The sequence below is a fragment of the Homo sapiens genome, chromosome 9 (genome assembly GCF_000001405.40).
Source record: "Homo sapiens chromosome 9, GRCh38.p14 Primary Assembly".
NCBI lineage: Eukaryota > Metazoa > Chordata > Mammalia > Primates > Hominidae > Homo > Homo sapiens.
This window is the reverse complement of record NC_000009.12, coordinates 26,917,675-26,929,834: the sequence shown is the minus strand read 5'-3', so window position 1 is coordinate 26,929,834 and position 12,160 is coordinate 26,917,675. Positions and strand designations below refer to the sequence as shown.

The 12,160-nt window shown below is 36.3% G+C and overlaps 1 protein-coding gene across 5 annotated transcripts in view; it reads left to right on the top strand.

Moving 5' to 3' along the window:
• The window catches only part of PLAA (phospholipase A2 activating protein), a 43,871-nt gene that overhangs the window by 17,408 nt on the left and 14,303 nt on the right, over window positions 1-12,160 (top strand). For all 5 annotated transcript variants that reach the window (NM_001321546.2, NM_001031689.3, XM_047424083.1 and 2 more), the window contains exons 3-9: window positions 1,427-1,527; window positions 1,615-1,735; window positions 3,275-3,442; window positions 3,875-4,010; window positions 6,488-6,657; window positions 9,451-9,608; window positions 10,306-10,525. In NM_001321546.2, coding sequence (NP_001308475.1) covers window positions 1,427-1,527; window positions 1,615-1,735; window positions 3,275-3,442; window positions 3,875-4,010; window positions 6,488-6,657; window positions 9,451-9,608; window positions 10,306-10,525 — 1,074 coding nt within the window. The remainder of the gene's footprint in view (window positions 1-1,426; window positions 1,528-1,614; window positions 1,736-3,274; window positions 3,443-3,874; window positions 4,011-6,487; window positions 6,658-9,450; window positions 9,609-10,305; window positions 10,526-12,160) is intronic.

Sequence of the window (12,160 nt, the reverse complement as noted above, 5' to 3'; positions counted from 1 at the left end):
ATCCAAAAGTCTCCTCTGAGTGATGCTAAGTATTCTAAACATCAGAGAGGTGATGCTTATAAGTAAGCTGTCAACCATACCCAATATACAATTATGGAAAAGGAATAGGATAATCAGAGCAAACACTCATTCAGAAGAGGAAGCAGTGCAAGACAACAGTTTTTGATCTAGAGCCATTCTGAAATCCAAATAAGTAGCTGTCTCAAGGATCCTCAGCTCAGGGTAGAGAGACTTTTGTGATTGCTTCCTTCTGGTCTAGGAAAAAGGTTTCCCAATCCAAGGTTCTTTATGGCTGTGCTTCGACCGCCAATGATACTCTTCTTTCCTAAGATAATTTTTCTTTTTTTTTCTTTTATCTTTTGAGAGAGGGTCTCACTTTCTTGGTCATACCAGAATGCAGTGCTGCTCTCACAGCTCACTGCAGCCTTGGCCTCCCATGCTCAAGCAATTCTCTTACTGGGACGACAGGCGCGTGACACCATGTCTGACTAATTTAAAATTTTTGTTTTAGAGCTGGAGTCTCACTATATTGCCCCAGGCTGGTCTCAAACTCCTGAGCTCAGTTCAAAATGCTAGGATTACAGGCATGAGCCACTCCACCTGGCTAATTTTTCTTTTCTTTCTTTTTTTTTAAAGACAGAATCTTGCTGTGTCACCCAGGCGTGAAGTGCAGTGGTATATGATCACAGCTCACTGCAACCTCTGTGCCCTGGGCTCAAGCAATCCTCCCACCTCAGCCTTCCAAGTAGCTGGGAACACAGGCGCATACCGCCACACCCAGCTATTTTTTTGTATTTTTAGTAGAGATGAGGTCTCTCCACATTGCCCAGGCCGGTCTCTAACTCCTGAGCTCAAGCAATCCGCCTGCCTTGGCCTCCCAAAGTGCAGGGATTACAGGTGTGAGCCACTGTGCCTGGCATAATTTTTCATATTTGTAATTTTTAGCCTGCATAATTTCACATCAAGAAAGTAAGACATTTAATTAACCACTTCATTACTTTTGGACATTGAGCTTGGCTGCAGGTTTTATGGTCACTGTCATGAAAGCAGCCTTAAATATTTATATAAACAGTGTTTCAAAATCATTTACATTATCTCCCTATTATGATTTGTTAAAGCTGGAAGGATTGTGTAGCTCACTTAAGTTCCGCTCCCTCGTTTCACAGACAAGGAATCTGATTTTGAGTAATATTTCTGCAGTTACGTGGCTTGTAAGTGGCACAGCTAGGCCTTGCGCCCAGGCAGTCTGGCACCAGAGTCTGCTCTTGACCACTGTACTCTTATGCGTCTCTGCTGAATTGAGCCTTAGTTAGCTAAGATACTGCCACTTCAAAGAGTGTTTTTAAAATTGGAATGCTTTAGTAACTTTCAATGTTGAGCATTTTTCTGTATGAAAATGTGTTATCCAATGATGTTTTTTCCTTAGTTTGTAGTCTATCATCTGGAAAATTTGGGACATTACTTAGTGGTTCATGGGACACCACTGCTAAAGTCTGGCTGAATGACAAGTGCATGATGACCTTGCAGGTACAGTAGTTCTGTGTAAATATTCTAAAGAATAATTAAGTTGAATGATTCTGTGGCAACTTAAATTGATACTCATTTTACTCACAGGGTCATACAGCTGCAGTGTGGGCGGTAAAGATCTTACCTGAACAGGGCTTAATGTTGACTGGATCAGCAGACAAGACTGTTAAACTGTGGAAGGCTGGAAGATGTGAGAGGACTTTTTCAGGTAAGATCAGGGTAGACAAGTTTTATAATATCATTGCTTTTTATTTGCTCAGATTTTTTTTCTCAGAAGTTTACAAGCATGAAAATATTTGAAAAACATTAGTATATTTAAGCTATTAATTTGAGTTAATGTAATTTTTCTGATGAGTTAATATCTAATACATTTAAAAAGATAATGAAACCTCTCATAAAACAGCCAAATGTAGACTGATAAATAGCTGTCTGATAAGCTATATATAATATGCATATGTGCTTCTGCATATATGTATGTAATTTTTGGTATATAGTTATATTTTTGGTTGTCATTTTAATACTTTTAGCCTGAAACTTCTAAACATAAGCCTTACTGATGGTCAGTCAGCAGTGTTATCTTCATATATGGAAGAAATCATTATTAGTGTCTTTATATTGAAGCACATTGTTTATAACGAATTTCAAGCTTTGTTTATGTTGTGGTTTATGGTGAGTATTCTTTTTAAACCCCAGCTATTAAATAATGCCAATACTGATGCATCTGCTATCTAATAGTAATATCATTGATTTATTTGTAGGGTACTTAAGTATTTACTGTTAATTTTAATTGGTGTTGTTTTTCCTTTTTGAATTTTTTCCTTAAAAGTTGGTAACTACCCTAGATAATATGCAAGAAGTCCCTTTGTACAGATAAAAGTATCTTTTGGCTGGGTGCAGTGACTCACAACTGTAATCCCAGCCTTTCGGGAGGCTGAGGTGGGTGGATCACTTGGGGCCATGAGTTCGAGATCAGCCTGGCCAACATGGTGAAACCCTGTCTCTATTAGAAATACAAAAAAATTCGCCAGGAGTGGTGATGCACACCTGTAATCCCAGCTATTCGGGAGGCTGAGGCACAAGAATCTCTTGAACCCTGGAGGCACAGGTTGCAGTGAGCAGAGGTAGTGCCAGTGCACTCCAGCTTGGGCCACAAAGTGAGACTCCATCTCAAAAAAAAAAAGAAAAACAAAAAAAGTATCTTTTGATGGAAAGTGGATGATGACTAAACATCCTTCTGTTTCTGCTTCAGTATATAGTCTATATATATGTATCAAGTCATTATTAATCTGTGATAGCTACTCTTAAGTCAACAGATACTGAACATAGGAAATCTGACTTCACAAGCTTCAGAGAATGTTTTGTTCTTAAATTTATGGGCTACTCTTTGTTATATATTTCTTTTATATTTGAATATTATATATTTTATAAATTACTCTTGTTGGGGAAGAAAAATTAAAAATGAATTTTCAGGTGAAAACAAATTATTGGGGTCAAAATACTATTTCTGGAGGTTTTTGGAGAAGGTAGGATGAATGTAAAATAACTTCTGAAGACTGGTGATAAAAAAATATTGCTAAACCTTAAATACAAATTTTGGTTATCAGGCTTTCAACAAAAAAAAAGATTTCTCTAACTTGAAAATTAATTTTTACTACTCACTGATATGTTTTATAATGTTAGTAAAATGTATAGAGCCATCAGCCAAATTATCAGTTTTATTGATTTGCATTATTGTTTTTTAATGCAGGGCATGAAGACTGTGTAAGAGGTTTGGCAATTTTGAGTGAAACAGAATTTCTTTCCTGTGCAAATGATGCTAGTATTAGAAGGTGGCAAATCACTGGCGAGTGTCTTGAAGTATATTATGGACATACAAATTATATTTATAGCATATCCGTTTTTCCAAATTGTAGAGGTAAGATTATTTTATGCTATTTATTTAATGTTTTGTATTGAGCATTATTCCATCCCATTTGTGAGATGGAGGGAGGAGAGCTGATTACTTAATTTACTATCTATGACTTGAATAATTTAGTAAATTTATTTCATTAAGTATCTTTCTCCTGTTTACAAAGAAGAAAATTGTATGGCCATCTTTATATTAATTCAGATTTATGTTGTGCTGTAAAAAGTTCTTGGGTATCTGAAGAAACACTTTGTAAGATGTGACATGAATAAAAAATGTGATTTTGAAGTTGTATATGTTGTAAGTGACAAACATATGAAATTTAAAACTGTAATTTTGAAAGTCTCTGGGTTTCAAAAAGTCAGTGTATCTAGAAAGATGGTATGTATAAATGTACTTAATTTTATTCAAACTAATACTTCCTATATTCATTAATTTTAGACTTTGTGACAACAGCAGAGGACAGATCTCTGAGAATCTGGAAACATGGGGAATGTGCTCAAACTATCCGACTTCCAGCTCAGTCTATATGGTGCTGCTGTGTGCTCGACAATGGTGACATTGTGGTTGGTGCGAGGTATTTATATTCTAGTCAATCATTAAATGTTATATGTCTAGGCCTTCAGTAGGAACTAGAGTGTACAGAGATAAGCCATAAGGAATTTCACGTGACTTGAGGAGACTATATGGACACTTCAATTACTAAACAAAACAGTAGTAGATATTATAGCTTTCATACTAAGGGATGCATGATATACCAGTATTGTACTGCAATTGTGCAGTCAATGATGCATGATATACCAGTATTGTACTGCAATTGTGCAGTCAAGATATTGACTACAAAAGAAGTTAGAGAAGGTAGAGATTGGTGTGGGAAAACTTTCTGTAGAAGAAGAAATTTGAACTGGATTTTGAAAGATTATGAGTGAGAAAAGATACGCAAATTTTTGTCAAAGCTAAGAGTATAAGTTTCCTTCATGAGAATGAATGCAGCATGCATAGGAAGTGAAGGAAAATGGTGGAGTACTAATGCTGAGATAATAGGTACAATGGGGCTTAACTGTGGAGAACCTTTAGTGCTTTCATGCCAGGCATTTTTTAGATTCATTGCCTGGGGTTGAAGGGTTGTAGTTCTTGAGCAAGAAATAGGATTGAAGCAGAACTTATGAATTACTAAATATGTAGATTGGATTTAACTGCTGGTGACAATGGACAGGAAAGTAAATTAGAAAGCAAGTACAGAAGGAGTGTGAAGTTATAAGACATTGGCCCCACAATGCTAATGGGTAGGAAATAAGTAAATGAGATAATCCAGAAGGAAAACAATCAGAAAAAGTATGAAAGAAAAGGATAAAGCTTCAAACTGTTAGTGATTGGAAATCTTCATTAATAAAAATGGAGAAGTGGGAGAATTGGTTGGGTACAGAAGGTGATGACCGTGGCCTTAGACTTCCTGAGGTCTGCAGTGGTGGTGAGCCACACTCATGCCAGTGGATCATGGTCATTTGAACTGGAGCTTAGTATAAGAACTGAGGCTAAGATAAAGATTTCGCAAAGCTTCCAAAAGCAAAGCATAGAACACCATTCTCTGAGGGAAGAAATACAGGGGAGGAACAGAAGACTAAGAACTAAGTTTTATGATATACCATTAGTAGAGAAAAAGAAGTTAGTAGGTTAAACAGAACAAAGGAATTCAAATGTTGAAATTTCTGGGAGACAGAAAAGGAGAGATTTTGGAGGGAGATTGTCATCAGTGTCAAAAGTGTTTGAGGAGTCAAAGAATGGAAAGTTTGAAAAGCATTTGGATTTGGTTTGAAAGATGTTATTAGTGACTTTTGGCATCAATCACATTTTGAATAGAAAATGATAGAAAAAAAGGCAAATAAGAGGAAATAAAGGGTTGGAGGAGATGGACGAAGGATCATAGACTACTCTATAATGCTACTCTAGCATTGAAAGCAATAAGAAGGCCAGCTGCTGTGGCTCACACTTGTAATCCCAGCACTTTGGTAGGTCCAGGTGGGAGGATCGCTTGAGCTCAGGAGTTCGAGACTATCCTGGGTGAGCTACCGAGACCCTGTCTCCATACAAAAAAAATATTTAATTAGCTGGGCATGGTGGCATGCATTTGTAGTCCCAGCTGCTCAGGAGACTGAGGTGGGAGGATTGCTTGGGCCCGGGAATTTGAGGTTGCAGTGAGCTGTGATTGCCGCCCCTGCACTCCAGCCTAGGTGACAGAGTTGGACCCTGTCTCAAAGAAAAAGAGAAGAAAAAGAAGGTGACAGCTATAAGGGATAGAGGGTCTAATAAAGTGGGTGTTTTATTTTTTGGCTGGGACAGAGGCTGATTTATAGGCTTAGTTTTTTTCCCTCCTAAGCATATGAAGAAAAACCAATAGAACGAGTGATGTACATGTTTGTGGACGAATAAGTTAGAAACAGGTTTCCTGTAGAATGGGCCAGGATTAATACAGTTGGAAGTGTCTAATTTGCTTCTCCTATCTCAGAATTTCGAATTAAGAAATCATGGAGATAAAGTAATTTTTCTGAGAAAAGAGGTTAAGGACGGCCATCTAATCCAAACATTAGGCCATTTTTTTTCCTTGATTGAAGTTACATTGCTAGTTACTGGCATAGTAAAGGATGACCATATTTGTCTACTGAACATCTGCTAATTTTAAGCCCTACATTGGGTCTTTGAGCCCTTTATAAACTAAACTAGCCCACTACCCTTCTCTATATGGTAATAACTAAAAAATATTGACTTTAAAAGTACATACTATAGCTCTAGATTCTTATGATGGTAAATATTTAACTTGGAAATTGTATAAAATACATGTTTCTCTGTTCTTTGTCAATAACTTCTCTATTAAATAGTTGACATAATAGAGTAGCATGTGCTGAAGTCAGCACAGTGCTGTAATCAGCAATTAATAACATGCTAATATTTCTCATATTCACAAACACAGATTATTTTTACTATGGATCATTCAGGTGTGATAATGTTAATGTATTATGGCAATGACTTCTAAAATCAGTTTATTTTTCCTTACAGTGATGGCATTATTAGAGTGTTTACAGAATCAGAAGATCGAACAGCAAGTGCTGAAGAAATCAAGGCTTTTGAAAAAGAACTGTCTCACGCAACCATTGATTCTAAAACTGGCGATTTAGGGGACATCAATGCTGAGCAGCTTCCTGGGAGGGAACATCTTAATGAACCTGGTAAGTATTTTATTGTACCTAGTAGAAAAAATTCACCATATTTGGCTTTTGGAACAATTAGAAGAAAAATAAATGTTGTTTTGCTTGTGTTTTTCATTGCTAGATGCTGATTTTTGAGGATTTTTACTATTACATATAATCACTATGAGAAACCATGTTCTTGCCTCTGTCTCACAGAAGACTTTGAATTAAGCTTCTCATAAACAGGAATTAAAAAATAAATCTCCCAACACTTAGATCATTTACAGTAGACACTCAAAAGGCACTCATTTAATACTTTTTGGTTGATTGGATTCTCTGAGAGGGGTTACAAACTGAATATTAAAATGAGTTTAAATACGAAATTAGCCAGGTGTGATGGCATGCGCTTGTAGTCCCAGCTACTCAGGAGGCTGAGGTGGGAGGATGGTTTGAGCCCAGAAGGTTGAGGCTGCGGTGAGCCGACACCACACCATTGCATTCCAGCCTGGGTGACAGAGTGTGACTCTGTCTCAAAAAAAAAAAAAAATGAGTTAAAATCAAGCATTGTCTGTGTAATGAGTTGGGAATCATTCGAGTTTGAAATCAGAAGACCGTAGTCATCTCAAATGAAATCTTGGGTTGGATGTATCTCTTGATTGCATTATTATACCAGTGCTTCTCAAAGCTTGATTCATGGACCTCTGGGGATTCTGAGATCCTTTCAGGATGTCCATGAGGTCAAAACTAATTTTTGTAATACTAGATATTATTTGAATGTTGTACATTGTATTAATGTTTGCACTTATGGTGCAAAAACAATGGTGGGTAAAACCACTGGTTCACTAGTATGTAAATCAAGCCAGGGGCTTTAAACCATTCTGGTAAGTTACTATGTTCTACTTGCATGCAGTTGTAGTTTAAAAAAAAAAAACAATAAAAACAAAAAAAAACAGTTTGCCATTAAGCATGTCCTTGATGAGGTATTAATATTAAGAATTATCAGTTTTATTACATTTTGACACATCTTTTTAAATATTCCGGGTGAGAAAACCTAAAGTAGACATAAAGTAAGTCAAAATACTGTGGTGTCTCAAAGAAAAGAACATGCGCAGTCATTTGAGTTGCAGGCTAAACTACCAGTTTTTTCATGGAGTGCTATTTTTATTTGAAAGAATGACTACGGTTATTCAGGCTTTGGTATTTGGCAGACGTTTTTTGAAAATGAACAAATTGAGCATGTTCCGTCAAGGAAAATAACTGATAATATATGTTGCCAAAGATAAAATTCAAGTGTTTGAGTGAAAATTGAAATGTAGGAAAAATGTATCTCCACCAGGAACTTAGTAGCTTCCCATTTGTATTGATACTAGTGGTAATAACATTAACAAATGCCATTTTTTAATATTGAATAATAAACTGTATGAATATGCAGAAGATCTGCGTAAGTTATTGAACCATTATTTTCCATATGACTAGTATCTGATACCATCTCAGACATGGGTAAAAGATCCATTCAAAGTACAAGATAGACCAGTGGATTTTAGTATAATAGAGCATGAAAAATTCATTGATGTGGTTTCAGATTGTACACTGTAGCGTTTAAAAAACTAGTATTTCTGGCCTATCCACATTTTCTGAAAAGACTTGTCTTCTCTTTTTCAACTACCTACGTGTGTTAGGCTGGATTTTCTTTTTGTAGTCAACCAAAATAACAAATTGAAACAGATTAAGATGGGGTAAGAGGGGAGATTAAAGTATGATGGACTAGGCCAGAACTGGCATATATCACATCCACCCAGATTCCACTGACCATTACTCAGTAATGTGACATCATGTGACTGCCCAATGCAAGGGGACTAGATAATGTAGTCTCTGGCTAGACAACTACAGCTGTATCTAATGGAAGAAGAGCATGATTCTTCGGAGGATGGATAGCTGTCTCCGCCACTGAAGGCCTTGTTGAGAACATGACATTTGTGTAAAGTTGTTAAAGAGGGAAAGGAGCAAATACTGCCAATATCTGTGTGAAGAGCATCATAGGCAGAATAAACAGCTAATACAAAGGCTCTGTGGCTGAAGTTGGGAGATGAGGGGACAGGGGGAATAGTAGAAAGTAAGGTCATGTAGGATAGTGTGGACAATTTATATTTGGTCTTGTACACTACTCAAGAGTTTAGGCTTTTACCAAGTGAGATGAAAAGCATTGATGGGTTTCAAGCAGAAGAGTGTCAGGACCTACTTAAACTTTTGAAAAAATTCCTGAAGTTGCTGGGTGGAATATACACTGTCGGGGGCCAAGAGTACAGGAAAGAGGCCGTTGAATCAACCCAACTGAGAAATGATGGTGGCTTGGACCAAGGGATGATGATGGAGATATTAAGGAGACAGTTTTCTAGATATATTTTAAAGAATGAGCTGATAGCAGTAGCTGAAGGGGGTGCTGAGAAGTAGCCGAAGGAGCGATGGGGTTGAGAGAAAGGTATCAGGCTTTTCTACTTTTCAGTTTGAGCCACTGGATTAATGGAGAGCCATTTACGGAATGAAATGTGTTAGGAAGATATATTCACTAATAAAACTTGTTTTATTTTTGATGGGCCAGTTGCTTCCTAGTAGAATCACGTTTTGTTAACCTTCCTTTGATTAATAATATTTCCTTTTAACTGTTATTTTCTTTTGGCCACATTTTTAAATCTTTTATTTGATACAATTTTATTTTGAAACAAAATCCATATTCTCTTATGTGTAAATTTTAATGTTAAGAATTTTCTATTTAAATGTTTTTCAATTTTACATTGCCATTCTACCTTTGATTCTTAAAATTTTTATTTTAAGGTACTAGAGAAGGACAGACTCGTCTAATCAGAGATGGGGAGAAAGTCGAAGCCTATCAGTGGAGTGTTAGTGAAGGGAGGTGGATAAAAATTGGTGATGTTGTTGGCTCATCTGGTGCTAATCAGCAAACATCTGGAAAAGTTTTATATGAAGGGAAAGTATGTCGACTTCTACTTTCTAATTACTATTGTCTTAAATATTAGGCAAATTAAAGGTTTCCTTTGCCCCATAGTGATAAAATTTCCTTTGTTTTGACATTTAAAAATCCATTACTGTGGGAAACTAATCTTTTTTTTCCCTGTCTTGAAATAGATATTTTAAAAGTATCTTTCCATGTAGTGAGAGCTGCATTTGAGAGACAAATTAGCAATTGTCTGTCATGTAGTAGTTTCTATACAAAAGCTGTTCCCAGCCATTTTGGATTGGGAGCTTCTGTGCCACCTTTCATCAAATGCCTCATGCCTGGCTATATTTAACTTGACAAGACATGAGAGACCCTGCAGGGCAGTGCTTAAAATGCCAGCACGTTTTGGTGAGTAGGGCACAGTAACAGCTGATAATTTTGATCTTGATATCAAACCAGTTGGAAACTCTGCTTTGGCTCTAGAGTTAATATGTAGTTGTAATCCATCCTTCATCCTCACCCCCATCCCCTAATGAAATACTAATTTTGCATCACATGCAGATGGGGGCTGTTAATCTTTATCTGCCAAAAACGAAGATTTTAGCACTGCACTTTGGAGAAAGTTTAAGTACTGTAATTATTAAAGAACACATCTGTGTTATGTTGTATATGTCATTAATATATGTGAACAGATAATAAGCATGTATCTCCTTTTTATATTCCTACTTTAGGAATTTGATTATGTTTTCTCAATTGATGTCAATGAAGGTGGACCATCATATAAATTGCCATATAATACCAGTGATGACCCTTGGTTAACTGCATACAACTTCTTACAGAAGAATGATTTGAATCCTATGTTTCTGGATCAAGTAGCTAAATTTATTATTGATAACACAAAAGGTCAAATGTTGGGACTTGGGAATCCCAGCTTTTCAGATCCATTTACAGGTAAGTTAGTGTTTATATTGAGTCTTATGTAGTTCCATTAGTGTTGATTGATTTTTTTGATGTTTTCAAATAGTCATGTGATTAGCTTTTTCAATAAATACCAATATCTACAGCAGGGTTTTACTTCACATTCATATGTTTAAGCCTCAAATGATGAAGTAATTCTGTATTTTACAGAAATAATAGTAAATTGTTGTCTTTCAAAAATACAATCATACTATAATGGAATTTCAGTTATTTGAAACAAAAATAAACTTGTAAGTTCTTTTATATAGTGTTTCTTTTAAAAAATTATATTTTGGCAAAATTTAGTAAATCTTTTTTTCACATGAGGCTAAATTGGTCAGTCATGCATCAAATCTAAAAGTGAACCCTATGGGTAGTTTTAGTTTATATGTGATGTGTATTCTACACGTTCATTTTAAGTTAATTGTTTGTAACATCGTATACATCGTATCTCATGTTATAAATGCAGTTAGGTGCTCATACCAGTCTGTAAATTGTAATCCTAATGGTACTAGTCCAAATTCTGGCCCCTAGGAAGTGGAATCTAATCCTAGTAATATTAACGTGAGTTCTGGAGACTGGTGTAGGAGGAAATAAAATGCCTCCTCTAAATAACATTTTGAGATAGGCACTTTACTGTTAATGTTTTCCTCTCATCATTTCTGACTCAACATTTTTCAGGTGCTAGTGCTCTTCCTTGTTTTACGAGGACTTTGTATTATATTCCTGTCTCAAATCCTTATGTAGATCCACCTTTTCTTCCCTGACAGCTACTCCACATTCCCAAATTATCTCCTCATTCTACTTCAAAATTTCATTGCCCATTCATAAAATAAAACTAATGTTACCTGCATGTTGATTTAAATAGAATTATCAGGCCAGGTGTGGTGGCTGACGCCTGTAATCCCAGCACTTTGGGAGGCCAAGGCAGGCAGATCACAAGGTCAGGAGTTCAAGACCAGTCTGGCCAACATAGCGAAACCCTGTCTCTACTAAAAAAAAAAAAAAAAAAAAATACAAAAAATTAGCCAGGTGTGATGGATGTGCGCCTGTAATCCCAGCTCCTTGGAAAACTGAGGCAGGAGAATCACGTGAACCTGGGAGGCAGAGGTGGCAGCGAGCCAAGATCGCACCATTGCACTCCAACCTGGGCGATAGTGCAAGATTCCGTCTGAAAAAAATCAAAAAATTTTAAAAAAAATTATCAAAGTAACTTACTACTGAATTACAGATGATCTGATCCTCCAAATACTTGCACTTAAAAAGAAAATAATTGTTTAGTATGTGGATATTTTTGTTGTTGGAATTTCAGACTGTAGTTCAAGAGTGAACACAGATTGTAGTACTGTGTAAGCTATTTTGCATGTGGGATACAGGAAAGGAATTAAAGCAGCTGACTTTGTCTGGAAATCTAGGAAGCACTTGGCTTGTTTTGCCCTTCTGAGACTCTTAACTTTTTCAGCATCCTTACTGTTTTTTGTTTTTTGTTTTTTGTTTTTTTTGTGGACAACCTGATTATTTCCCTAGAGGTACTAACAAAACATAGGCACATACGCCACACATTCGTAAATGTATAAATGGAAGTCTCTTTCCTTTGTAGTTTTCATCCCTTTTCTAATTCTCTTCTCC